The sequence below is a fragment of the Homo sapiens genome, chromosome 10 (genome assembly GCF_000001405.40).
Source record: "Homo sapiens chromosome 10, GRCh38.p14 Primary Assembly".
Taxonomy (NCBI): Eukaryota; Metazoa; Chordata; class Mammalia; order Primates; family Hominidae; genus Homo; species Homo sapiens.
Genome location: NC_000010.11, coordinates 119,432,089 through 119,459,839, shown reverse-complemented (window position 1 = coordinate 119,459,839; position 27,751 = coordinate 119,432,089). Strand labels below are relative to the sequence as shown.

Sequence of the window (27,751 nt, the reverse complement as noted above, 5' to 3'; positions counted from 1 at the left end):
AGCCCAAAGGCCACAGGCATCTTGGGGACAGCTGTCGTATGCAGAAGAAACAGAACAAGAGCTCAGCAGCAGGAGAGAGATGCCGATGCCATGCTACTTCCATTAAGGAATTTATTTCTCTTTTAAAAACAACAACAGTGGCTCCATCTAGATCCAGCGGCACTGTGACGCGATAGACGGAACACACAGAGTTACAGCAGCGGGAGAACAGAAGCCGCTGCCTTCAGGAGTGACCGCCACTGTGGAAGTTTCCATTCATTAATGTCCAAATCTCCCTGAAAAAAATTAGAAAGCTTTGGATGCTAGAAGGATTCTTATTATTTTAACAACACCAAAAGCCACTAAACTCTTCTAATTGAGAACACTCGCTTAGGGACTGTTACAAAAATGACTTCTTGATGGACTAGGGAAAGACATCTAAATTCCACTTTGGGGGGGAAGTGTCTTTCTCTGCCAGGGAGAGCTGGCTTTTCAAATGTTTTCAATCACTGTCTCCGGCACAAGCCTTTACGTTTAGGCCAGGTGAGACACCCCCGGCCTGTGCAGGGTCTGACTTGCACACGCTGAGCTTCAACAGCTGGGTGGTGGGTGGGGAGGGCAGGCGCAGAAGGGGTCTCTGGGAGAGGAGGCTTTGCAATCGTGGTCTATTGTGATCAGGAAGATGGCAGCTCTCTGTATTCATAATCCACACAGCGATGTCACTTCCAAATGCACAAAGACTTCATACTCACTATCTTTCCACAGCCGGGGCTAAAAAGTTGGAAGATCCTATCTCAGAGTGTTGGGTTATGAAAACAGGAGACCACCTCTTGGAAGTACAGGTATTCAGGAGGACGTGCATGCACACCAGGGGACCCCAGAGGACAGCTGAGTGTCACTCAGGTGTTTCCTCTTCTTCTCAGAGATTTCCAATTATCCAGGAAGCCACCGTCCCCTTTGGCAAGGCCTGGGATGCCAGGCTCAAGGAGGCTGCGGTGCCCCCTCCGTTTTGAGGGCAGCGGCTCGGTGGGAAAGTCGATGGGTAGCTGGAACTGATAACACGAGCCTTTGGGGAAAGGACAGGGTGTGGAGGAAGAGAAGGGATTTCTGCAGCGGGGCCAGGCTCCCGGGAGACGCATGGAGACTTGCGGGCCTCAGGGAGGGAAGGCCTCGGTATCCTCAGGGGCTCACCTGGGCTCTGATCCTACTTGTGCTGTCAATGCAAAGGCTGTGTGTGTTCCCAGGACTTCCCACCACCATTTGTCTCGGCAGCTGCTTGCTGGTATGTGTATGACCCAGGCCTCACAGCTGTGTCTGTGGGGCAGGCTAGGCCTCCCCGCCCCCGCCCCTCCGAGCAATGCCTTTCAGGAAGCCTCCCGTGGCTGCGCAGGCCACAGCAGCAGCGAGCAGCCCTAGAGCCCCGGGTTCCCGGCCAAGGAAGAGGCGAGAATGGGTTGCTGTGGCATGTGAGTGCATCGTCCGCAAGGCGGGGACCGGGTCTTCTTGCTATTTTGGGTGGTATTCTGGGTGCCCCCCAGGGGACTCAATAAACACTTGTAGGGCATCATGGTGACCATGGCAGAGACCGCCTCTGTCCACCAGGGACAGCAGCTCATCTCCTGAAATGCAGATGCAGAGACGCTTCTGAGAGATCCCATGTCTCACCTCAAAGTCACGAAGTCAGTGAACGTCTGGTGAAAAAAAATGTCATGCCTGGAGCAAGAAAGACTCTTCTGTGAAGCGCTCAAATGCATGAACGAGAGTAAATCCGTTCACCGTCCAAATATGCCTTATCCTGGACAGGTAGATGGGTGGACAGTGTTGTTTGCTTTTAATTTTAAAATATCTTTTAAAAAATGACCGTATAGGCCAGGGACAGTGGCTCACACCTATAACCTCAGCACTTTGGGAGGCTGAGGCAGGAGGATAGCTTGGGCTCAGGAATTCGAGGCCAGCCTGGGCAACATGGGGAGACCCCCCCCCCATCTCTACAAAAAATTTTAAAAATTAGCTGAGTATGGTGGTGCACGCCTATGGTCCCAGCTACCTCGGAGGCTGAGGCAGGAGGATAGCTTGGACTCAGGAGTTTGAGGCTGCAGTGAGCCAGAATCATGCCACTGCACTTCAGCCTGGGGAACACAATGAGATCTTGTCTCAAAAAAAAAAAAAAAAAAAAATGCAGCTATAGAAACCAAGGTTGGAGGAGGAGCGAGTCAGGGAAGGGACAGGACTGGGGACTCAGTAGGGAGAAGGGCTGATTCCCAGGCGCTGTTCTAAAGACTTCCTTTCTCTTACCACAAAGCAATGCATGAGCCAGAAGGAACAGGAGGCTTTAGTAGGCCAAGTGACTCTGCCCCCATCTCCTCTGGGCACTCAGGGAGGGCTGGTGGCAAACATGATGGAAGACTCAAGTTATCATAGAGTCCACGTGCAGGCCTTGTGGTAGTATCGCCAGAGCTCTCATGACCTAGAAACACGGCAGCCACACTTCTGTCATCTTTCTTGCTCCCTGGGGATTCTCTACTGCAAACGGACAGGGCATTGCCTTTCAGGAATAAAAAGAGGCTGCTTCCCAACACCAAGAATCCATCTGGTAAGGACTGAGCTGCTATGAACTGGGCAAAAGGAACCAACCTCCTGGATGGGTGGCTGGGGTGGTGGCTTGGGCTGGTGACCATCCTAGGATGATGGTCCTTCTTTTCATTGAAAAAGGAAGTTCAGCAAGAGCTTAAGGATCTTAAGATACCATTCAAAGAGTTTTCTACTTCCTTGGAAGACTTGAATGTGGCTGTATTTGTTTTGCATTCAGCCCAAGAAAGGTAATGGAAGGAGCCTCATAAAACAAGAGCTGGTCTTGAACAAAAAAATACTGCACATTAAAAAGATTTGAGGGAAGCCCAGCTATTTCTTCTCCCCCATTTCTTTGTAAAAGGGCCTCAAAATGATCAGTCCCAAAGGCCAGGACCCTTTTAGCGGTACGCCCCAGGACCCAGGGGTAGAGTCCGGGGGTTAGGCATGGAAACCGGGCCTCACAGCTGGTGTGCTCACGACTGTCCTCCCCACGGCTCATGCTCCAATGCTGCCTGCGTCATCCAGAGAAATGTGTTTGGGATGATCACCCCCAAAGCCCCGCTGAGAGCCCACAGCAGGGGTGGGCTCCCAGGCATTCCCATTCTGTGGTTTGGGGTGGAACCTGCGAGTCTGCACTTTTGACAGGAGGTGCAGCTGCAGCTAGGGCAGGGTCCACATGGTGAGAGACCCTGGCAGCTGCTGGGTGGCACAGTCAGACATCAGGGACTCAGCCGGGCAGGGGACAGTGAGGTCAAATGTTCACCCTGTCCTGGACGGGAGGTGGGAGCAGATTGGCCCCTGGTCACTTCTTCGAGGCAGGAGGAGGTGGCCAGCTGCTCCCTGGGGATGGACAGCCCTGCTACAAGGGTCTGGGGGCTGCCTTCAGAGGCCCCTGGGCTGGCAAAGCCACCAAGTCCTCTAGGAGCTCCTGCCTGAAACTTTGAAATGTCCGATAGATCTTGCCTCTGCCCCACCTTCCTGGGGAAGGAACAGTGACTTTGTCTTGAGCCCTTTGGTGGCTTGGTCTCTCCTTGGGCCTCTCATTTGCCCAGAGAGACTACCCCATCCATGCCACATGGGCCAGCACATTGATGGGGCTGTGAAGGTCTCAAAACCCTGTGAACGCTTCAGGAACATGCCGGGCCCCTGGGCCAGCCTCCCTCCCCGCTACAGACACGACGCTGCTCCGTCAGGATGAGCGCACTGCCTCACTTCCCGATGCTCCTGTGGGCCCCGAGGCTTTGGGACACTTGGGGTTTCATGACACATCTTTACGGTCCTATGCTTCTGTTAAAAATAGAGCAAAAATCCCCCAATGCAAACCTCTTGCAAATGACTGGCTTTAGCAGTCAGGACCTGCTTAGAAGGAAAGAGGCCCATCGCCCACCAGGCTGCAAACACCTAGATCCGCGTGCCAGCCGCCTTCCTGAAGGAAGAGCAGACAGAGGTGGGTGCGACAGTGGCTCGGCGTGCCCCTCGAGGAGAAGGGCTCAGCCTAGGCGACTCCGAGGGCCCCAGGAGAGGACATTCTGGCTGGGAGGGGGAAGTCCCACGTGTGTCTGGAACATTTAATTCAGATTGTTCCAAGCCGACAGAAGGGTGACACCAATGTGAGGAAATGGCTCCAGAGATAGATGTGGGTAAATACAACCAATCCTTCAAAGGTGAAGTATGGATCACTTTCTACATTTAATAAAGACATTTTCTCATTTGAGGCTCTGGAAGTCTTGAGTCACATTTTTTTTTTTTTGATAACCCCCTCCCCGCTAAAATGCCTTGGAACACATGGCTTAACAGTGGCTGCACAGAAAATATACACCCTCAAAGTCTCACTTTCATTTAAATACAAATATACAAAATGTAAACTGAGACAGTAGAGAAATTTACAAAACTTTTCTTTAAAAATCATAAAGACAAAATTCAGTTCTAGTTATGACGCTATTAAAATACGTGCAAGTTGTCGTATCCAATTGGATTTCTATTGCAATGTTCACCAAAGACAAATCCAATCCACCCCGGCCGGGGCCGCCTCGGAAAACAGACCTGAGTGGAAATTTCTTTGAGAAACCTCGAGGTTCTACGTCGACGGGATGGACGGCCTCCTTCCCCGGCTCCCGGGGTCTCCCCTGGCAGCCCCACCAGAGCAGGGGCTCCACTACTTCCACTTCTAAGGAGAAGGGTCTGGGCTGGTTCCACTGTGGACTTGGAGGCCAGAGCCGAAACTAGCTGCTTCCGGTGGAGTTCGAGCTGACATGGTTTGAGTTTATGTGGTGGTTAAAACTGGTCTTGGAGCTGGGCGAACTCTTGGAATTGTTCTGATGCTGGGGTTGGGGTTGGGGGAGACGGGGTGGAGAGAACAGAAGTCAGTCCTGGGAGCCCTGGGGATGGGTCGGGGCTGCCTCTGCCTGCTCCAACCCTTGCTTTTTATTGCCTTTTGCAGTCTCCCCTCAGAGCCAGGTACAAGGGCCACCCCTGGAGGCACAGGTACCTGGGAAGAGCTATGGAATTAACAGAACCTCCAATCAGGGTGGAGGCGGCCCCTCCTATAATATCCACCTTGGTTAAGCCTGCAGGCATGGGGTTACGCTGCCTGGGCTGGAATTCTCAGTCTTCCCCTCCCTCGCAGAGTGGCCTTGGGCATGCAATTCCATCTCCCAGTTTCCTCTCCTGTAACACGGGAGAAGAGCAGCTTCCGCACAGGGTGGCTGGGAGGATACAATGGGGCCTCATATGCAAAGGGCTCTAGCGAGGGCCGGCCTGGGAGAGATGGGCGGTCGTTCCCATTGCTCAGGCCTTCCCTCTGCATCCCGTGAGTGCTGGGCCCTTCATGTTGCAGAGGGGAGGAGGAGGGAGGCAAGAAGCGTTTGCTTCACAGGTGCTGGTGCCCATATGTGGGCCGCCACCCGTGGCTCTAGGCAATGGGCATTTCTATCCTGATGTTTCAGGCAGGCAAACTGAGGTGGGAGAGGTTCCGTAAGTTGCCACATAACCAAGAAGTCTCAGGGCTGGGTTTGAACCCGGGTCTGTGAGACTCCATGGTAATTTCTTTTTCTAGGACCCAGGGTGTTCTTAGCATGCCTGGCCATCAGGGGAGGGAGAGGTCATTCTTTCTGGAACTTCCGTTTTACTTGATGGAAGCATTGAAGCGTTGTATTTTTATATTATCACTGGCTGAGTGTGTCCATCCTGGAGCTGGCTCTTTGTGGAGAGGAGGAAGGAGCAGAACTAGGTGAGGGAGCCTCCCAGGCTCCAGGGCGGGCACACTGGGCCACAGCTTCCTCAGGGGCCAGGCCAAGACGGGGTGTATGGTGGCCACCTTCATGGTGTGGGGTGAGGTGGGGGCCCTTCCCCCGCATTTCCTCCATTGGCCCACACCAACCCTTACCCAGGGCCAGGCTCTAAGTGTCATTTCCCAAGGGCCCTGTCTCCTCTGGCTGCCAGCTAGAGGGCACAGCATTGGATGGGGGCCATCCCAGGAGCCGGAAGGTTCTGTGGGGTCAGCTTCTACCCCCAGTTCTCCCTGGGCTTATGATGTTCAGTCTTTATATGACTGAGGCTTCGTAAGGGCCAGAGAGGGCAGTGGCTCTCAATCAGGGGTGACTGTGCCCCTGAGGACATTCAGCAATGTCTGGCTCCTTTATGGGCTCTCACGACTGGGGGATGGCGTGTTGCTGCATCTGGTGGGTGGAGGCCAAACTTGCTGCCCCACATCTTGCGATGCACAGGACGGCACTGTGACAAGGAATTAACCGGCCCCAGGCGCCAACAGTGTCAAGGCGGAGAAACCCAGAGGGAGGGTGAATTTGGGCTGGCCCTGCCCTTCTCCCCGGGGATCCCATCAGCTGCCGTGGGTATCAGGGGCCTTGGACATAATCAGTTGCCCTTCCAAGCTGCTACTGCCCCAGACTTCCAAGCCTTCCAAGGGTCTCTACTGTGGGTCTTCTCGTTTCCCATGGAAGTGAGCCAGGGGTCTCGGAGCTGATGCCAGGACTGGCCAGGCATGGGTGTCTCACCTGCCGCTTGAAGAGTCTCTGGAGCAGCCCTTTCTTGGGCGGTTCCGGAGGGTGGTTTCTGTTCAGATCTGGCGGGAGGGTACCATTAGGTCCAAACACGTTCAGCTCCTTAAAGCATTCTGTTTCTATCATCTGGAGGGGCCGTGAAAACAAAACACAGGCCGTCAACTGGGGCAGTCAGGAAGCCCAGCAGCAAAGCCACTGGGGCTCCCTCCCCTGGCCTCACCTGCCCCTGAGCCACACGCCCTCCAGGTCTCAGGGGCTGGGCGAGGCTCCCCGTCAATGACTGGCCCGTGGTGGCTACAGCTCCCTACTTGGCCACTGACAGCTTTTGTGTGCTGCCTTCATGGAGAAAACAGAAACCATGCGCTCAGCCTCCTGCCGCCAAACTCATATTCCCGACGCCTCCTTCCACCCGTCAGTCCCTCCCTCCCACCCAGACCAAAGCAAGTGGTCTGCCCTGCTCACCTCGTTTTGCCATGGGATGGACACAGAGCCCGTGGAGAACTTGGAGTAGAAGTCGTCGTCTGTGTGGTCCAGATTGACGCCCTTCACAGTGGAGAACTGCTCGATGTCCAGCACGTCCTTACAGTACACAGCGCGGGGCTGCCAGGGGCAGAGGGCCGGTCACACATATGTCCCGCCTGCGGCTCCAGTGGCCCCGAGCCAGGCCTTGGGGTTTTGGGGAGCAGAAGGGAGTCTTCCCAGGACACACCCCCAGAACTGCTATGGGTAGTGGCTGGAGGGTGTGTGGCTCAGATGCAGGTGAGTCCAGGGGAGGGGTCGGCCCCAGTGGCTTGGCTGGGCTTCCTGTCCACCTCAGATGATGGCCTGTGGTTTTTTTGTGCGACCCCTCCAGATGACAGTGCAGCCCTCTCTCAGATCCATGACGGGGACCCTGGCTGGGGTGACACAGGAGCTCGGGGCACCTGGGTGCCCAGCCCAGGGCTCATTCCTGCCATCACTCCCTTACCCATACTGGACAGACGTGGGCTAGAGTCCCAGCTGTGGGGCTTAGGAACTTTGGGGAAGTCTCATATCCCCTGAGGCCTATGTCCTGTTTCCTTACCGGCAAAATGGGGACAACGAGGCACCTGGGCGATGGGGCTGCTGTCAGTGCTGGCCACCGAGCCTGGCGCCCGTAACTGGGAGCTGGTATTATTATGGTAGGCATATCTTTTGCCTTACTCGTCCCTCAGCTGTGCACTGGGGGCCTGCTCTATGCCAGGGCAGAGATGAACCTGGGTGGACCCTGCCCTCTAAGAGTTCAAGGTTGGTGTGGGGAGGCTTCCCAGAGCCTCTGGAGATGAGGCCTTTATAGAGACAGCCCCAGGTGGGGTGTGAAGGGATCCCCAGACCTGGTGACACATCTGTCACTGGAGGGTAGAGGCTACCTCCTGCTTATAGTCTCCTGACATTTGGCTAATACGAAGGTTGTGAATCAGTGCACCGGCTCAGCATGGGCTCCGCCATGCCAGGAAGGTTCTAGCAATGGTCTCAGGGCTCGGCACTTTCTGGGACTCTCCCCTCCAGTCTGCTCTGGTCTCCAGCTCAAGGCTCAAGGCCATGCTGTCCCCAGCAAAGCAAACCATGGGCCCAAGTGCACGTGGACGGAAGCAGGGGTGCGGGCAGGGGTGTCCAGTTGCAGAGCTGCGACCCTTCTCTAGTTCCCAAAGCCCGGGGTGCACGCCACCGTGGAACTCAGCGGACTTTTAGCTGGAAGCAAGACCACATCATTCACATGCTCAGCGCAGAATGAAAACGCAGGGTCCATGTTCCACATTTAGAATTTTAAGATGGCAACAGAGGGCACTGAGCCAGGTGTGGGGACCCAGGGTGCCCTAGGGGGTGCCAGGTCAAGCTCACGAAGCTGGCCCTGGGTGGCTTGCAGAGGAATGTTAAGAAATGAGCGTATTTTAAAAATCTGTAATGGAACAGAAAGTTACCTGGCACACCCAAACCCCTCTTTCATGGCTATTATTTCCTTGGAAAGGTTTCCTTTTAAAATACATTGATTTTTATTTTAAAAAAAGAGTCAATGGAAGTGAAAAAGATGATGTCACTCACAGTGCTCGTGGTTTAGGAATGTGGCAGCAGCCCCGACAGTGGTGTGGGGATGGGATGACTGTGGGGGGCTGGCATGGATGACTGTGGGGGGCTGGCAGGGACGACGGTGGGGGGCTGGCAGGGACGATGGTGGGGGGCTGGCAGGGATGACTGTGGGGGGCTGGCAGGGACGACTGGGGGGGCTGGCAGGGAAGACTGTGGGGGGCTGGCAGGGAAGACTGTGGGGGGCGGGATGACTGTGGGGGGCTGGCAGGGATGACTGGGGGTTGGCGTGCAGCCTGGGGAGGGCCAGTGGGGAAAAGGCAAAGTCCCCAGCTCACAGCGGCTTCGCACTCCAGGGCCTGCAACCTTTGCTGACCTGAGGCCTCGGATGCCAGGAACAGAGGCCCTGGGCCACAGGGTACACGGCTGAGGCAGGAGGGCACCGGTGGGCTGCTCTGTGCACCTTGTCAGGCTGTGCGCTTTGCGGGGCTCTGCTACCTCATCCTCCTAATGCCCTGATTCGAAGTGGCCAGGGTCACTCCCAGGGTGACCAACTGTCCCTGTCTCCCCAGGACACAGGACTTTCAGTGCTAAAAGCAGGACAGTCCCAGGCAAAGCAGGACAGTTGGTCGCTCTGACCCTCAGAGCCGCCTCCTTCCACATGCTGCTTCCAGGGCCTGGAGCGCTTTTCTCCAGCCATGCCTGGGTGCACGCACGGAGGCCCCGCTACTCTCCCATCTTCCCGGAGGCTGCCTGTTCTCTTCTCTTGTGACTCGTATTTCTACTTCTATTTAAGGGGTTTTGCTGACACCCCTGCTCCTCTTCAGACTGGAAACAACCAACTGTTTTGTGTGCCATGGGATCTCCCTTGGGGCCTGGCACGGGACCTGGAGTGTGCTGGAAGGTAGAGGAATAGCTCCAATGCGATGACTAATCTCAGCCCGTCACCATAGCAATAGGTAGCCCAGAGGCCACAAGGATGGCCACCCGGGTTCCAAACCTTTGCCACACCCCCAGTCTGGATGCCCACATCCTCTCCAATTTCGGACATCAGCCCAATGGCACAACCGTGATGTTCATGCACTCAACACTATGTGGTTTCCTGGAACACCAAGGAGTGGCCACTCCCAAAGCCCTTGGCACTAAAAACAAACAACAAACAACACACTCCTTGCATGTGGCACTTCCCATAATAGTGACTCTCAACCCTGGCTCTACGCTAGAATCAGCTGGGGAGGTTTCAAAACTCCTGAAGCCCGAGTCTTACCCCAGACTCCCTGGGGACTGCATCCAAGGCGAGTGTTGTTCATGCTCCCCAGGCGGTTCGCCAGGCAGCCAGGGTCGAGAGCAATGCTGTGATTACCATCCTCCCCCTGCCTGCTCAAGCTCATCTGCAGATTGAGTTTGCAGCATTCAGTGACTTTCACTTTTTATTTTTTGAGATGCAGTCTCGCTCCGTCGCCCAGGCTGGAGTGCAGTGGTACAATCTCAGCTCACTGCAACCTCTGCCTCCTGGGTTCAAGTGATTCTCCTGCCTCAGCCTCCCAGGTAGCTGGGATTATAGGTGTGTGCCCCCAAGCCTGGTTAATTTTGTATTTTAGTAGAGATGGGGTTTCACCACGTTGGTCAGGCTGGTCTCGAACTCCTAACCCGACTGCCTCAGCCTTCCCAAGTGCTGGGATTATAGGCATGAGCCACCGTGCCCGGCCTACTCTTTATATTCTCAGTGGCCCCCGTGTTTCTCCAAAAAGCATTCCCTGATTACCCATCACACTGATGCCATCCCTGGCCAGACGGGGTCTGTGGTGTGGTTGCCATGGACACTGATCCGCACCTAGCAGCTTCCCAAGCCACCTTCTGTCCCAGAGGACCAGGGAATCCCCATGTATAGGGGGTGCCAGAGTTCCAAGGACGGTCCCCACCTGCCTCCACTCAGGGCGGTACTGGTAAGTGATAACCACTGGTTCTGGGAGAGGGGGACGCAGAGGCCCTGATTTGTAGCATTTGCAAATTGCTGCTGTGCAGATGCTACCACCAGATCTACTGTAAGCTACCGACGCAAAGCCATTGGACACGGAATTGGGAAGAGAGGTGCACATGAGCTCTCTGGAGATGCAGTCATTCGCCTGCAGCACACTGCTGCTCCCACGGCCTCCATAGTCCCCGGCCCAGTCCCCCTGCCAGCAAGGGGTCATCCGCGGGAGCGTGGCAGGAGCCGAAGCACAGCAGGCCTTCCTGGCTTCTGACTCCCTGACTTTAAACAGAGCAGGCCCCGGAATCACAGCACGTATCCCGCACAGATCACCCAGCCTCTGCCTGGTCTGCATCTCTTGGGCCTCTGATCCAGCTGAGAGCTCATGATTTATAGACCATGTAGGGGACTTTCAAGGACAATTCTACCTCAGCTGGAATCTTGCCTCACACACCGACTGGGGGACCTGGGGACCTCCTGGGAAGATGCAACTCCCTGCAATGTGAGCTGCTGGGGGAGGGGCCTCTTATGTTTCTGCCTGGCCCAGAACCTGGCGTCAACAGTAGTGCTCGATGCATGCATGCTGGTCAAGATGAACTGAATGTAGTGGCCGTCAATGCTCTTGAAAGCATTCCCCATTCAGTTCTCATTTCACCCTCAAATCTCCCAGGCAGGTGGGAGGCATGAGTGTTACTGGTTTCACTGGACAGGGAGGAAACTGACGCTTAGAAGGAATCTGTCCAGGACCCCCAGACCTGGGAAAGTGCCCAAGTCTCTGGACAGCCAATGTGGGCTCCCTGGCCCACGCCTCTTCTGCACTGCCTGGCGTGAAGTTCATCTGCAGCTTAGGTGAGGAGTGGCCGGGAGGGGACCCTGGTCCCCACAAAGACACGATGTGCCCCACACTCTGCACCAGCTCACTGTGAGGCAGCACTCGGGGGCAGCCCTGGGTACCCTGTGAAGGGAGCTGCTGGGGGCTGGGGGAGGCTACTCACGTCTGGAACGAAGGGAGGGTCCAACATCCCGGCTTCTAAGCGCTTGAAGTTCATGTTCCTGAAGAAGGGGTGTCTCTTGACCTCTGCAGCCCCCTCCTCCTGGCAGCCCAGCCTCTGCTTCGCATCTTTCGTGAGCAGCTGAAACAGAGAGCCCCATGAAGCCACGTCCCCTGGGCCTCTCCTCCTGTCCGGACCTCCTGCCTCCACAGTGTCTGCACCATGCCTAGGAACCCAAGACACGCTGCCCCACCCTGCAAAGGTCTTGCTTCAGGGCTGCCTCTGAGTCTTGGCGTGCATCTGTGCTCACACACTCACAGCCTGGCTAGATGCCTGATGGGACAGGAGAGCAGGAATCTTGTTTCTCTCAGGATTACAGACCTCGTTCCTGGGTTATGGTGGGCACTCATTAATGGGTGTCGAGTCACTGTCACCTCTTCTGTGTAGGGTAAGCAACAAAAGGCAAGGACTGCATCAATAGCTCTGTCTCGTGCACATACTCAGCTAATTTGCAGAGTTGTACCTCCTGGGTGCAAGCCCCTTCCTGACAGAGAAGGCACCACCGAGGCACTTGGCCTCTAGGAGTGCTCAGACTCATGGGGGGCTAATCATGCTCAGAGGACGCATCAAGGTGATACAGATCGGGCACCCCGGGGGCAGGGGGCATGACTGGCTGCCAGCTGGAGGTCAGGGAGCTGCACGGGGAAGAGGTATTTAAGTTGAGTCTTGCAGGACAAATAGGCTTTCAAGGTGTGGGTAGGGGGAGGGGTATACAGGTAGAGGGAACTGCACCAGCAAAGCAGAGTGGCAGGACGTGCAGGGTGAGTCTGGGGAACACCCAAAACACGTTTGACTTAGAAAGCGGGAGGAGGGTGCAGAGATGGGTCAAGGGGAGGGGGCTGGTCAGGGAGAGATGATAGAGGATCCTGAAGGCCAGGTCAGGTGGCGGGATTTTCATCTGGAGGTAGAAGGAGCCAGGGATGGTTGAGGTAGGAGAGTGTCTTCATCAGAACCACGAGGCAGGAAGGTTACTAGGAGAGGAAGAGTCTTTGGGAGCAGACACCCAGGTGAGACGGGATGAGGCTATGAATGAGGCCAGAGGGCTAGACCTGCGCAGGGGGCCTTGACTAGCCATGGCCAGCCACACGACCACAGGGCCCCGGCCCCTGACCTGCACTCCCAGTGCCCCAGCCTCGTGATTCTCTCTTCTCCTCTGCCTTACTGAGCGCTGCAGCTGTACGCAGTTGGTGTCTACTAAGTGTCTGCTTTGAGGCTAAAATCCAGAGGAGCAGACTGCTTGGGGTAGGGGCCCAGCCTTGTCTTTTCCCAATGCCCTGTGCGCTTTGCTCATATTCATCCCATGTACACTTCCTGCTGGTCCTTGTGGGGCAGGCACTGCACCGGCTGGGGACGCCGGGGAGAGTGAGCAGCCAGACTGGCCTCTTGGGGCTCAGGGTCTGGAGGGGGCTGCCCCCCAAACAAAGGAATCGAAGGTGGCATCAGGGCCAGCACCAGGTTCCACCCTTGAAAGGACAAAGCAGAGCACTCAGTCGCTCAGTGTTGCCCCTTAACGCCCCCACGGACCACCAGGCTGGCGGCTCAGGGTCTGGCACTCATGCCTCTGCTTCTCTCTCTGGGGGCTTCACTGTTCAACAAAGGCTCAAGGCACTGGGTTGGGCTGGGCCCAGGTGCTGCACTGTTCTAAGCAGTCCCTCAGAGGCAAGTCTCCTTCTGCAGGGGCTGCAGCAGCTGGCCAGGAAGGTGGCACAAACGAGGATGAGAAAGGCGAGGGGTGGGCTGGGTGGGCCGGGCCGGGCTATGTGTCAGCTCCTGCCAGGTGGGACGGCAGCCAGGGCCTGGGGCTTCTGCTTTTCAAGAGAAGCCAGAAAATCCAGGTTATTACATGAAATCTCCTCATTTCTAAATCTTGGCAATGAACCTACCATTTACTTCTTTTGAAAAACCGTGTGCAGGTTGAACACCCGCCTATATGCTGCCATTTGAAACCCTGGCATCCAGTCAACAGTTTGCAGCCACATCGTCAGGTAAAGAGTTTGCAATCATGCTATCAGGTGGACACCAGGAGAAGTGAGAGGAAGAGAAGGTGTGAGCTGGGATGGGTGGGGCAGGCAGAGCGGGCTTCCTGGAGGAGGGGTACAGATGGGCTGGAAGGACAAGTGAGACCAAGACGGCTGAAAGGCAAGAGGGAGCTGGAGGGGGGCTAAGGCCCAGTGCTGGGACTGAGCAGGGGTTTGGGGAAGATGGAGGCTGAGGTCTGGGCCCATGGACTGGGCTCAGGAGACAAAGTGGTGAGATGTGTGAATTTCTGGGCTCCAGAGGAGGGGGAGTGGGTTCTGCGGCTGCTAAGGTAGAATGGGGGACAGACCTGGGGGCCAGAGACTGGCTTCCTCACTGATTGTGGAGGGACCCTCTTAGGCAGGCAGGGCTGGAGCCACCAGAGCCTAGAAATAGCCCTGTGAACCCAGGACCTGCGAGGTCTCCTGGCAAGTCAGGCTCTGCAGTGTCCTGAGCTGCCACCAGCTGGAGGGGACAAGGTAGGCCTAGATGCCGGAGATGCTGCAGTCAAGGGCGTGAAGGAGGCCTAAGACTAGACTCCCAAGACCAAAGATCATTTGTAAGGGAAGCCGCAGCAAGGCCAGAGGCTTCCAGAGGACAGTGGTTTTGTACCCACGGGACAGGTCCTCCGGGAGCAGCAGGCTTTCTCTCAGTGTCCACCAGGGGGCAGCAGAGGGACAGCAGCACCCTGGTCCAGGCTGCAGCAGGAGATCCCAGCTCCAAAGCCAGGGGCCAAGGTGGGTGTCTGGGGTCTGGGGGTGGGACTGGGGCCCTCTCCGCCTCGTCATCCTCTTAGTACGTCCCATATCCCTGCTGAGATCTCTCAAGACCTGCTTCTCTGATTGCCTGGCCCTGACCTGGGACATTTGGTGATGCTCTGCCCACGGCTGTCTGACCCCTTCTTCTTTCCCTTGTCTCGTTTTGTCGCACCTGACAGATATCTCCCAATGAGACAGCCAAGTATGGCTCACACCCACATTTCCATTTACCCGACCAGTGCTGCACTGCTCCTCCGGTCCCCCCACCCTAGCCCTGGCTGCGATGACCATGTGGCTTTCTCTGAGGCCCCAGCTGCATGGCGGGCCAACAGCTGTGGGGTTAGAGTGTGGGTCTGCTGTACACACAGGACTTCTTCCCACAGCTCTGTGATGTGAGGATGAGGTTGGTGACAGGAAGGGGCCAAGCAGAGGTGTCTGGCTGCAGGAGAGGGGCCTCTGGGGTGAGGAGCCGAGCCAGACCCTCCTGGGGCCGCTTGCGGCGCAGATCTCAGGTCTTCCTGAGCAGAAGCATTGCGACTTTTAATCAACTCCCAGGACTGCTGCTTCCTAAACTCCGGGAGTTGCCTGGGTTGTCAATGCACACGCTGAATCTGCCCCAAAAGTGCCTGCAGATGTAGAGGGGTGGGAAGTGTGGCTCCCCCCTCCCAGGCTCGGTTTGCCCATCTGTGGCTCCGGGTACATGGGATACGGGGTACATCTGTGGCTCCAGGGAGAGGAGAGGAAGTCTGTGGGCTGGCAATTGTGGAGCTGGGTGCTCCGGCCCCTCCTGTCCCTATGAGGCTGGCATTAGAGGGCAGCTGCTTGCAGTGGGGGTGCCAGCACAGCTGTGCTGGGGACCATAAGGAGGAGGGCCCCAAGGGGGCATGGGCTGGACTTGGGGGCTGAGAGCCAGGCAGCAGCAGGAAGTGGCCATCTCCCCACAAAGCCAGCCACTAGTCCTGGTTCCCAGGGAAGGGCCTGAGGGCCGGCATGGGGCGGCCCAGTGGCAGGGGTGCACGGGCGGACTCCACTCCCATATCCCCCACTTCCAATGGCTCCTGTCACTCCTTATCTGGCTTCCAGTCCCCCCATCTGGCCCCACCCACCCAGCTTTTGGGTGGGTCTGACCTCACTATCCCTAGACCCTGTCATGCAGGAGCCAGGCTGGCGTGACCAGCAGTCCATCTAGTGGTGGAAAACTTTGTTATAAGATGTTCAAAGACTGAAATCGTCGCCCCCACCCCCTGTAGCCCTTCGTCTTAAACCAACACCTTAGGATCCAGAGGTGGAGGGAGCAGGAGGCCCACGGGCAGGGGCCGGGGCTTGGCCCAAGGTTGCTTTGTGTCTGGGGCACCAGCTCAGACCATCTCTTCTCCGCCCTGTGTGGACCCCCCCACAGGCTGGATGTGAGGGTGTTCCACACTGTTCCCCTCACCCCTCTTCCCTTGGTTCCTGGGTGTCCCTGCCCCACCCAGGCTTTCTCCTGGAAGTCTCCGCTGACCACCCCAGTCCACAGCAAGGAGTGCCCTCAACTCTAGCTTGGTGGGCTGCAACCCCCACCCCCATGCTCAGACCCCTGTCCCTTCAGCCTGTTTGCTGTTCTGGGGACAGACTGGGGCCAGGCCCAGGGAGGGGAGCCACCAGCTTGAGGGTGGCATCTGGCCACCAGGAGCTCACCATCTTGCAGATGGACTTGGCCTCCTCGGAGAACTTGTGGGAGTACACCTCCTCCGTCTCCAGGACCCGGCGGTCCACCTCCTCCCGCTTCACCTTCTCCTTGCGGCCGCGGAACGGCGACTGGCCCTCGATCATCTCATAGATGAGGCAGCCAAGGCCCCAGTAGTCGGGGCTCAGGCCGTACCTCTGGTTGTTCAGGACCTCTGGAGCTGGGGGCAGAGGAGAGGAGAGAGGAGTGAGGAGGAGGGAGACAGCTGGTGGCGCTGCTCACAGAAGGCCTGGAGTTTCATGGCCGCCACCAACTCTTACCCCACCAACTGCTGTGAATACCACCCCCTCCAGGGAGCTTGCCCTGATGACTCTCCTCTGTGCCCCCGAAGGACTTTGACTGTAGCTTTAGAACTCTGACCACCGTGGATGGAGGTGTCCTGCACTCTTGATGTCCCCTCGCCTAGAACATGAGCTACTTTATTCACTACCGTAACAATATGACACCTGGCACAGAACAGGTGCTATCAGTATATTTGTTTCAATGAATAAAGGTGTATCTACCCAAATTAAAGATGATCTTAAATTTATCTGTAATTCAAACAATCTCTTGCTATGTCTTCTGTACCACTTTGATAAACCGAATTACAGATTTACCATAGAAATACAGAAAAGATAGTTCTGCAGCATCAGCACGTATGTCTGGAGGGAAATGCATCCACACATGTGCTGGTTTGCACACAAGAGCCGGGGCAGACAGATGCATGGAACACTCTGCAAAAGGAGACCCAGGCAAATGCACACACAGGTAGGCAGATCTATCATCCACCCATCCATCATCCATCATCCATCCAACCATCCATCCACCCGCCCACCCGCCTACCTATCAATCATCGATCAGCATTCATGTGGGCACACACACACTCACATACACACAGACACACACTCCACAGGTTGCCAAATGTCATGCAATCTGAAAAGGACCCTCTAGCACCAGAGACAAGGCACACCTCCTGTGCAGCTGCTGTCAGTACCAGCCTGACTAGAGGGCGGCAGCGTGCCTGCTCCCCGGGCACGCGCCTCTCAGGGGAAGGAGGGTAGGTGTGTGAAATGCACAGGAGGAAGCCCAGGGCGTGCCCCCAATTGGACGGGGGATTCTAGGGCACAGGACTTAACTCTGGGTCTCTTCCCTGCAACCCCCAGGACGCTGGTCTCAGAGCAGACTGAGGAAAGGTGGCAGGAGCCCAAGGCTGCTCTCTACTGGAATCATGCTTGGTGACACAGCAGCTGTGCGCGCCTCTCATTTGCGGGCTCTTGTGAATTACCTCCTTCCTCTCAAAGGCCTCTCCTCCCAGACCCCTGCTTCAATGTGGCCTCCCCTAGCAGCGCTGTATGCCAGGCCCCGACCCCTAAGAGTGGCTTGGCTTTGGACACAGGTGGGGCTGGGGGCCTGGGAGTGCAGAGAGCTCAGAGCAGTCATCACATCTGGGGCCCCTGTGCTCCCCCTCCCCCTGGCTAAGGCCGCCCCCCAGCAGCCCTGCAGAGACTGTGACTCTGTGTGTGATCAGCAGTGCATGAAGAGGCGAGAGGCTCTGCGGGCAGGCTCTGGGGGCTCGGCCGGCGGTGAGCAGGTGGTGGGTCTCAAGGTGCATTGACACAGGCAGCCCAGCACTCACCCATGTAGCCAACAGTGCCCACCCGGCCGCGGATCAGGTCTCCCTCGGGGATCTTCACAGCCAAGCCCAGGTCTGAGATCCTAATGTGGCCTGAGGGGGACAGCAGGGTCAGTGGGTCCCTGGGACAGCCGCATGGGCACCCGGCCTTGCTGTGTGCCCTTGGGCAAGGCATACGAGCTCTCGGCATTCTCATCTGTCCAAGGACAACAGGGACCCCAATCTGCCATCTCAGAGTGACCACAAGAGCCTTGGGAGAGTGCAGGTGTGGGAGGACACAGGAAAATGCCCACTCTTCAGGAGTGGAACATAAAGATGCAATAGGATGCCTGGACCCGGCTGGACGTTGACCGACCTGCCTAGTCAAAGGCTGAATGGGCTTCCTGGAACGCTGAGGTCAGAGAATCTTGGCTTGGTTCTGGGATTACTTCATGGGAAAAATGTGAGGTTCTTCTGGCATTATGCAACAATTTGCTTAAGGGGAAAAAATTATAAAACGATTTGGGAAGCAGCTCCCCGGCCTGCCTTGTTGGTCTCTGGAGATTGGTTGTTTTTCACTTTAGAGAAACGAGAAGGGAAAACATCTGGTCTGACCTGGCAGAGCCTGGAGATGAATCCCAGCTCACAGCCCAGGACTGAGCCCCCAGAGCGGGAGACGCTGAGCTGAGGCTCCACTTTGGTCTTTGTCCCTCCCACAGCCCACCTGGGCAGGGTCGCGGCCACAACTTACCCCACAGGAAGGAACACGTCCCCTTCCCTTCCCTGCCTATGGACACCAGGGCCCCACCCCCATCCCTCCAGCCTAGATGTCAGCAAGGGCCAGTGTCGAGACCCCGCCAGGCTGGAGCCGTGTGGACTCCCTGGCTCGGTGGGGGCTGACAGTCAGGATAGCAGAGGAGCAGCGTGGGCTTGGTTCTTAGACCAAGGGAGGCACCGGGCACATCCAGAGAGGGGCGGCAGGCCTGGGCCCTCCGACCGCCCCTCCACAGGGCAGTATCCCATGCAGACCTCTCTTCAGGTCATCAGCGACCCGGTTTCTCCCCTCCCTCTACTGGGGGCTGCCAGGTTCTGGGGCCTGGTGGGAGGAGACCCAGTTTCTGCCCTCAGCTCCCCACTGATGCTGCTGGGTGACTTTGGCAGGATGGCTCCCCTGAGGCTCAGTTTTGTCATCTGTTAAATGGGCACAGAGATGCTGCCTTGCCCTTCTCTGTGCAGGTGGGAAGATCTAGTCAGATCAAAGGTGTGGAAACCGGTGGCTCATGCCTGTAATCCCAGCACATAGGGAGGCCAAGGAGGGCAGATCACTTGAGGTCAGGAGTCTGAGACCAGCCTGGTCAACATGGCAAAACCCCATTTCTACCAAAGATACAAAAATTAGCCGGGCGTGGTGGCACGTGCCTGTAATCTCAGCTACTTGGGAGGCTGAGGCAGCAGAATCACTTGAACTTGGGAGGTAGAGGTTGCACTGAGTTGAGATTGCACCACTGCACTCCAGCCTGGGCAACAAGAGTAAAACTACATCTCAAAAAAAAAAAAAAATACAAAAACTAGCCAGGTGTGGTGGCGTGCACCTGTAATCCCAGCTACTTGGGAGGCTGAGGCAGGAGAATCACTTGAACCTGGGAGGCAGAGGTTGCAGTAGGCCGAGATCACGCCATTGCACTCTAGCCTGAGCAAGTGAGACTCTGTCTCAAAAAAAAAAAAAGAAGGTATAGGAACTATTTTCCAGGTGTGAGGCTAAACAGCTGTGAGGGGTACTGTGGTTGTTCTTATTATTCAGTGTCCACAGCCAAGAGAAAATAATGATGGTAATGCACAAACGTAATGCCTGAGACATTTACAGCTGGCTAGACTGACAAGCAATTCCCTCTCAAGCTGTCATGTAGAAGCCTCTCCACCACCCTCTTCCTTCTGGGTGGGCAGGGCAGGGCAGGACGCTTTGTTTCCATTTTACAAACAAGATGAGAGGTGGAGAACTTGATGGAAGTTAAGTATTTGCCCAGCATCTCTGAAATTCTGGACTCCTTGTTCAGTGCACTGTAGAGACCACGCCCGGCCAGAAGTTATTTTAACACTTAGAGCCTTATGGTCAAAGGGAATTTCAAAAACTCTGAATTTCAAAGTCTCTCTGAACACTGCCTGTTCACCAAGCGGAGCTCTGTTCACACTCACAGCTTTCCCCCTTCCCCAGGTACCCAGCACTGAGCAGTGGGAGTGGGGCCCGTGGTCAGCTTCCCCAGCCCTCTCTGAGAATCCCTGGGAGGCCCTTTGCTTTCTTGGGGTTGCAATGCTCACCTCAGCTACCGAGTAGGAAAAGACTTACCATAATCATCTAACAGGATGTTTTCAGGTTTCAGATCTCTGAAAGGAAAAACAACAAGCATCAGAGTGTGGGCATTCTGGGCAGGTAGGATACACTGGCATCTGGGTCGACCCCTCGGGCTAATCAGGCCTGAGTGGCCACAGTGTGTTTCCTTCCCACCTCCTGGCTCAGGCTGTCTGGTTTGAGTCAAAATGATCTTCAGCTAATTTTTCTCCTTCCAGTAATTTAAAGCAACACTGCCGTTTGCCACAGGCATTTCCCAATCCTGGAGGGTGACTGGGAAAGTTAGGAAAAGGCCAGTCATGGCCCCTGTTCACACATCAATGACTGCAGGTCTGAGGATACTCCAAGGCTGAGAAGACCCTGCAGGTCTCAGGAAGCCCTGAAGGCAGAACAGGGCCTGGAATGAAGGGAGCTGTGCAATTGGGAAGAGAGGATCAAAGGGGAGAAGGTGGGGACACAGGAAAAAGACCCCCTTTGGGATGGGGCCTGCAGGAGACTGGCATATCCCCCAACACCAGCTACGCTACAGCCTGGGAGAAAGAACAGCTACGGGGCATGGCATAGGTGTGGCTGCCTTATCCTGTCCCTAATGTCTCCTCTCTTGATGACAGGATCTTGCTCACAAGTAAGGGAGCCTCTGCATTCCCAGGATGAGGGGAGAGCCAGCAGAGGAGCTGCTTTTATAGGAAAAGGTCTTCTCTATGGGTAAAAGAACAGCCAAGAGGAGAGTGTGTGCAACTCAGTTAAGCCATGGGGCAAACAGTACACAGGATCTGGATGGAGGCTCCAGTTCTCAACCACCCAGCTTTGTTTATTTAACTGATGGCAGCTGTCCTCATGCGGAGTGGTTAATGTACCCAAATCCAGCCAGTGAGCCTCATCAAATGATAATTGGTGTTTGTGTATCCTTATTTATCATAAAATACTTTTGTTGCTGTTATTTAAATGGCATTCTTTTGATGTGTTAACAATTCCAAATAAGGGCAGCAGCCATCATCTCAACAAGCCGGCTGCCACCAGGCTAGCATGGCAGCTCACTAGTGGGCACTGGCCAGAACGGAGCCCAAAGAGAGGCCGTGGTGAGTGGTCACAGCCAGGGAGGAGGCACTGTGGTTCTCTTTCCCCCGGAAGAAGACGAGCTGGAACTTGGAGGGCTTTCTTTTTTCTTTTTAAATAAAAGGCAATCACGTAGAGAATTCTTTGTTCAACCCTTAGGGAAAATTTTGACTCTTTTCATTTGAATGAAAACAAAACAGAAACATAAATGGGGGGATGGTATGGGGGGAAGGGCATGTCATCAAGACCATTCTTTCTTGTTTTCAAAACCTTCTTGGTCCCAAGATGAGCTCCACTGCAAAGGTCTTCAAACTGGGCTGCGTGTCGGGGTCTGCCAGGACCGAGCAGGGGGTTCCCTCCTGTCCGCAGTTTGAAGGGTTTGGATTTCTTCACATCAGGATGCTCTGTCCTGGCATCTTTTGGGATCTCCCTCCCATCTGCCCTTTCTCAATAACTCTTCTCCCAAGTTACAGAAGAAAAGCAGCCTCCTCCCCTCCCGAGTATGACTGTAGCGACCCACTCCAGATGTCAAAACCCCTGCTTCCAAAGGACTGATTAGAAATGAGATCTACTACTAATTACAATGGCAACTCGACAGAAGAAGTTATTTTATTTTATTTTGAGACGGAGTCTCACTCTGTTGCCCAGGCTGGAGTGCAGTGGTGATCTTGACTCACTGCAACCTCCAGGTTAAAGCGATTCTTTAGCCTCAGCCTCCCAAGTATCTGGGACTACAGGCGCGTGCCACCGCATCCGGCTACTTTTTGTATTTTTAGTAGAGACAGGGTTTCACCACGTTGGCCAGGCTGATCTCAAACCACTGACCTCAGGTGATCCGCCTGCCCCAGCCTCCCAAAGTGCTGGGATTACAGGTGTGAACCACCACAACCGGCCAGAGAAGTTATTTTAACACTTAGAGACTTACGGTCAAGGAGAACTTCAAAAACTCTTGTATGTATCTATATATTTGTTTCAGAGATGTACGCTAATCAGTGAAAGACTTTCAGGCAAAAAAATATATTATTAACATTCTGGGGGGATGGAGAGAGTGAAGGAAATGATAGAAAATTCCTCATCACTAAAGAGCTTTCTGTGCATTTTTTGGATAAATGCAGGTGGAAATCAATTGGCTACAGCAACTAGAGATTCCACTGGATCCCCTGAGGAGTGTAATGTAACTGTTCAATTTCAATATATCAAAAATTGCCACTATTTCAATATGATGGAATATTTCAAATGTCTACTTAAAATGCAGCATCACAGAGATTTTTCAAAATTCTTTCAGAAGGACTGGGAGAAAAATCTGAAGGGCACTGCTCATTGTGAGTGGAATCTGGACCCCTGGCCCTACAATGTCCAGGTCCCTGTGGGATTGAGGTGGGTGGGGAGAGGGGGTGAAGACCAGAGCAAGCTGAGGACAGCATGGAGTGGGACCATGGGCCACTCCGATTCTGCTTGTGGGCAGTGACCCGACCCAAGTCTTCCCAGGACTGATCCCAGATAGCGGCCACCAGGCCCCCTCCCAGCTTCCCTGGCTGCTGGGATGGAGGCAACTGGAGGGAGCAGTGGTCACGGCCCGTCCTCCTTGACTTGAAGGAGCAGTCAGTTTCAGGAACATCATTTCACTTGCTTGGCTTCCCTAAACTTTGGAGGCTGGAGAACACTGGCCAGAGGGTGGCCCACCTCGCTTCCTCAGTGCCGGAGGCCCCAGCTTCCTGGAGTGGAAAGTCTGTCTGACTCTGCATCCTCCCCTGGTGCTGACCAGGGCTGATTCCCAGAGCGATGGCAACCACCTGCCCGAGGGTGTGGAGGGGCTGGCCCCACCCCCTCGGACTTAGACTTGGAAGTCCTTGGTGCCTTCCACTCACCGGTAGACGGTGTTCTCACGGTGGAGGTCTTCTAAGCCGCAGAGGATCTCTGCCGCATAAAACAAGGCCCGCTCCTCCTCGAAGCCAGGGTTGCCCATGTTGTAGATGTGGAACTTCAGGTCACCCCCATTCATGATGGTCAGGACCAAGCACAGTGCATCCTTGGTCTCGTAGGCATAGGCCAGGTTGACCTGGGAGCACAAGAACAGTGCCATGGGGAGGTTGTGACAATGGCCACTCACTTCCACTTCCCTCCTCAGGATCCTGGGAGCTGGGGTGTGAGGGAACAGAGGAGCCTCACCCTGCTCCCCTGCACCCAGATGGCCTCTGCGGTGACCCTGCCTGCGGCCTCCTTGGCTGATAAGGGGCTCACACCTGCTCCTCCCTTTCAGTGGATCAAGGTGAGAAGGCCAAGGCGGGTTAGGGCAGGCTAGCACCCCGACCTCCCAGTGAATCCAACAGAATGGCGTCTGTGCTTCCTCCACAGAAGCACATGTGTGCATCAGCTGGGGAAGACTGGAGGGTGCCTTCTTGGCCAGTCAGAAAAGCAGGGCTCACTTGCCCTTTTGGGTATGGGAGCCATTCTCACAGGGCCAAGTAAGGGTGAGCTGGAGGGGCAGTGGGGCTTTGGGAAGTGGAACATGGCCTGGTAAAGGCTTTCTCTTGCATGCAGGATGTGCCTAGTTGATATGGTTTGGCTCTGTGTCCCCACCCAAATCTCATCTTGAATTGTACTCCCATAATTCCCATGTGTTGTGGGAGGGACCAGTGGGAGACAATTGACTCATGGGGGCAGTTTCTCCCATACTGCTCTTGTGGTAGTGAATATGTCTCACAGACCTGATGGTTTTATAAGGGGAAGCCCATTTCACTTGGTTCTCATTCTTCTCTTGCTACCGCCATGTAAGAAGTGCCTTTCACCTTCTGCCATGATTGTGGGGCCTCCCCAGCCACGTGGAACTGTAAGTCCATTAAACCTCTTTCTTTTGTAAATTGCCCAGTCTCAGGTATGTCTTTATCAGCAGTGTGAAAACGGACTAATAGAGTAAATTGGTACCAGAAGAGTGAGGCACTGCTGAAAAAAATACCCAAAAAGGTAGACATGACTTTGGAACCGGTAACAGGTAGAGGTTGGAAGAGTTTGAAGGGCTCAGAAGATAGGAAAATGTGAGAAAGTTTGGAACTTCCTAGAGACTTGTTGAATGGCTTTGCCCAAAATGCTGAAAGTGATATGGATAATAAAGTCCAGGCTGAGGTGGTCTCAGATGGAAACGAGGAACTTGTTGGGAACTGGAGCAAAGGTGACTCTTGTTATCTTTTAGCAAAGAAACTGCTGGCATTTTGCCCCTGCCCTAGAGATTTTTGAAACTTTGAACTTGAGAGAGATGATTTAGGGTATCTCACAGAAGAAATTTCTAAGCAACAAAGCACTCAAGGGGTGACATAGGTGCTGTTAAAGGCATTCAGTTTTGTAAGGGAAGGAGAGCATAAAGGTTTGGAAAGTTTGCAGCCTGACAATGCAATAGAAAAGAAAATCCCATTTTCTGAGGAGAAATTCAGGCTGGCTGCCTAAATTTGCATAAGTAACAAGGAGCTGAATGTTAATCCCCAAGACCATGGGGAAAATGTCTACAGGGCATGTCAGAGGTCTTCACAGCAGCCCCTCCCATCACAGGCCCAGGGGCCTAGGAGGAAAAAGTGGTTTCACGGGCTGAGTCCAGGGTCCCCGTGCTGTGTGCAGCCAAGGGACTTGGTGCCCAGTGCCCTGAGTCCCAGCTGCTCCATCCGTGGCTGAAAGGGGCCAATGCAGTGCTCGAGCCATGGTGGAAGCCCCAAGCCTTGGCAGCTTCCATGTGGTGTTGAGCCTGCGAGTGCACAGAAGTCAAGAATTGAGGTTTGGGAACCTCCGCCTAGATTTCAGAAGATGTGTGAAAACACCTGAATGCTCAGGTAGAAGTTTGCTGCAGGGGCGGGGCCCTCATGGAGACCCTCTGCTAGGGCAGTGCAGAAGGGAAATGTGGGGTCAGAGACCCCACACAGAGTCCCTACTGGGGCATTGCCTATTGGAGCTGTCAGAAGAGGGCCACTGTCCTCCAGACCCCAGAATGGTAGATCCACTGACAGCTTGCACTGTTTGCCTGGAAAACCTGCAGACACTCAATGCCAGCCCATGAAAGCAGCCAGGAGGGAGACGGTACCCTGCAAAGCCACAGGGATGGAGCTGCCCAAGACCGTGGGAACCCACGTCTTGGCATCGGCATGATCTGGATGTGAGACATGAGGTCAAAGAGATCATTTTAGAGCTTTAAGATTTGACTGCCCTGCTGGATTTCTGACTTGCATGGGGCCTGTAGCCCCTTTGTTTTGGCCAATTTCACCCATTTGGAACAGCTGTATTTACCCAATGCCTGTACCCACATTGTATCTAGGAAGTAACTAACTTGCTTTTGATTTTACGGGCTCGTAGGCGGAAAGGACTTGCTTTGTCTCAGATGGGACTTTGGACTATGTATGGACTTTTGAGTTAATGCTGAAATGAGTTAAGATTTTGGGGGACTGTTGGGAAGGCATGATTGGTTTTGAAATGTGAGGTCATGAGATTTGGGAGGGGCCAGGGGCAGAATGATATGGTTGGGCTGTGTCCCCACCCAAATCTCATCTTGAATTGTACTCCCATAATTCCTATGTGTTGTGGGAGGGACCCGGTGGGAGATAATTGAATTGTGGGCAGTTTCTCCTATACTGTTCTCATAGTAGTGAATAAGTCTCATGAGATCTGATGGTTTTATAAGGGGAAACCCCTTTCACTTGGTTCTCATTCTTCTCTTGCCACCGCCATGTAAGAAGTGCCTTTCACATTCCACCATGATTGTGAGGCCTCCCCAGCCACATGGAACCATAAGTCCATCAAACCTCTTTCTTTTGTAAATTGCTCAGTCTCAGTTATATCTTAATCAGCAGTGTGAAAATGGACTAATACACTGGTCCACTTGGCAAAGGGCCACCAAGAGAGGGGGTCTAGTCCTCTGCTGGTGGAGTCCAGACACCCAAGGCTCTGTGAAGCAAGGCCATGGTGGGGCAGGAGGGGCAAATTACACCAGAAGGTAATCCTTCTCCACATAGGGAGGTGGCACACATGAAACCCGGCCATCGTGGGCCAGGCTGGGAACTGGCTGTGCCGTAAAACTGGTGCATCAACATCAGCTATTTTTGAGGAAAGGAGATAAAATGGCAGCCAAGGATGAGCAAGCTCATGGGGACTGTGCTTCTGCTGCAATGGCTGCAGCTGTCCCCTTTCTCCCACATCTGCCCAGGTGATCACCGAGAAAGGGATCCAGGAGGTGACATCGTGGGAACTCCCTGCCGGGGCCGTGGATGGGGCACAGTTAAAGAAGGTGCAGCCATCGTAACTGAAGGCCCTTAAAGACGTGCCACCCAGCTTTGTGAATCACATGATCCTCTTCCCTGAGCAGAACCCGCCAGCACTGTCCCTTCAGAGACAAGGCTCCATAGGCAGCATCCAGGGGTCCCTGCTGAAGCGGCTGGCAGTGGGGAGGAAGGTTTCGGACTCAAGAAGGCCCGCAGCTGAAATGATGGCTGAAGTTAGCCTCATCTGCCTCATCTCCACATACCATGGCACTGCCCACACCTGCACCCCCGACAAGGCTGGCAGCTGGGGGTGGCCTGGGATGAGATCCCAAGATGCAAACTTCCATCCTCTGGGAGTGCCACTGGTCTGTAGTGGTTTTGTTTGTTTGTTTTGTTTTGTTTTTAACAAAGTCTCACTCTGTCACCCAGGCTGGAGTGCAGTGGCATGATCTCAGCTCACTGCAATCTCTGCCTCCCAGGTTCAAGTGATTCTCATGCCTCAGCCTCCCAAGTAGCTGGAATTACAGGCGCCCACCACCATGCCCAGGTAATTTTTGTATTTTTAGTAGAAATGGGGTTTTGCCATGTTGGCCAGGTTGATCTTGAACTCCTGATCTCAAGTGATCTGTCTGCCTCGACCTCCCAAAGTGCTGAGATTACAGGCGTGAGCCACCGTGCCCGGCCCTGTAGTGGTTTAAAGATGGAAAACAATTTCCATCCATGGGGACTGACTATATGGATTATGCTTTATCTCTTCAGGAGAATGATGCCCAACTTTAAAAAGGGGTGTGACTAGAGGTCTGGATGGAGAAAAAGATCTACAATGTAAGGGAAAAACATTCCTCCATAAGAGGTACAGGAAGATCCCATTGGCTAAGAATAATAAAGCCTGTGCATGAATAAAACATGCCTGGAGTGATTACTCAAAGAGGGAAGCTTTTCGTTTTATTGTGTATCCTTCTGTGCTGTTTAAATTTTTACCTTGTGTATATATTATTTTTAATGTATGCATGTATTTAGTTTTAGAGATGAGGTCTTGCTGTGTCACCCAGGCTGGGGTGCAGTGGCACGATCATAGTTCACTGCAGCCTCGAAATCCTGGGTTCAAGCAATCCTCCTGCCTCAGCCTTCTGAGTAGCTGGGACTACAAGCATGTACCACTGCACCCAGCTTTATTTTTTATAACAGTGTGTAGCAGAAGATATTAGAGCTGACCAAATATCCATGCACTTCACATTTCCCAGCCTCCCCTGAAACTAACTTGTCTCTGTGTTGACTGGTTCTGGCTGGCAGACTGTGGGTGAAACTGAGGAACATCTGTCCAGTAGAGGCAGTGGAAAGTCTCTGTGTGGAACCCCTAGCACTCACTTTCAAGGCTCCAGAT

General features: G+C 54.5%; 1 protein-coding gene across 1 annotated transcript in view, besides 4 other annotated features; it reads right to left on the bottom strand.

Annotated features, from left to right (window-relative positions):
- Positions 1-94: 94 nt before the first annotated feature.
- Positions 95-27,751, bottom strand: part of GRK5 (G protein-coupled receptor kinase 5) — a 252,175-nt gene continuing 224,518 nt past the window's right edge. The window contains exons 9-16 of the mRNA NM_005308.3: positions 22,999-23,189; positions 20,072-20,109; positions 17,752-17,841; positions 16,088-16,296; positions 11,580-11,717; positions 7,032-7,169; positions 6,564-6,695; positions 95-4,871 (exon numbers count right to left, since the gene is read on the bottom strand). Of these exons, the coding sequence (NP_005299.1) occupies positions 4,773-4,871; positions 6,564-6,695; positions 7,032-7,169; positions 11,580-11,717; positions 16,088-16,296; positions 17,752-17,841; positions 20,072-20,109; positions 22,999-23,189 (1,035 nt within the window). The 3' untranslated portion in view covers positions 95-4,772. The remainder of the gene's footprint in view (positions 4,872-6,563; positions 6,696-7,031; positions 7,170-11,579; positions 11,718-16,087; positions 16,297-17,751; positions 17,842-20,071; positions 20,110-22,998; positions 23,190-27,751) is intronic.
- Positions 4,808-5,329: an enhancer, noted in NCBI's record as "H3K4me1 hESC enhancer chr10:121214023-121214544 (GRCh37/hg19 assembly coordinates)". NCBI's record gives its function as "activates a minimal SCP1, AML or CMV promoter by ChIP-STARR-seq in primed H9 embryonic stem cells {active_cell/tissue: H9 hESC(primed)}" and the evidence as "EXISTENCE:reporter gene assay evidence [ECO:0000049][PMID:30033119]".
- Positions 7,292-7,468: a silencer, noted in NCBI's record as "fragment chr10:121211884-121212060 (GRCh37/hg19 assembly coordinates)". NCBI's record gives its function as "represses an EF-1alpha promoter that drives an FKBP-Casp9 reporter gene in an ReSE screen in K562 erythroleukemia cells {active_cell/tissue: K562}" and the evidence as "EXISTENCE:reporter gene assay evidence [ECO:0000049][PMID:32094911]".
- Positions 8,784-9,283: an enhancer, noted in NCBI's record as "H3K4me1 hESC enhancer chr10:121210069-121210568 (GRCh37/hg19 assembly coordinates)". NCBI's record gives its function as "activates a minimal SCP1, AML or CMV promoter by ChIP-STARR-seq in naive H9 embryonic stem cells {active_cell/tissue: H9 hESC(naive)}" and the evidence as "EXISTENCE:reporter gene assay evidence [ECO:0000049][PMID:30033119]".
- Positions 14,971-15,761: an enhancer, noted in NCBI's record as "H3K4me1 hESC enhancer chr10:121203591-121204381 (GRCh37/hg19 assembly coordinates)". NCBI's record gives its function as "activates a minimal SCP1, AML or CMV promoter by ChIP-STARR-seq in naive and primed H9 embryonic stem cells {active_cell/tissue: H9 hESC(naive and primed)}" and the evidence as "EXISTENCE:reporter gene assay evidence [ECO:0000049][PMID:30033119]".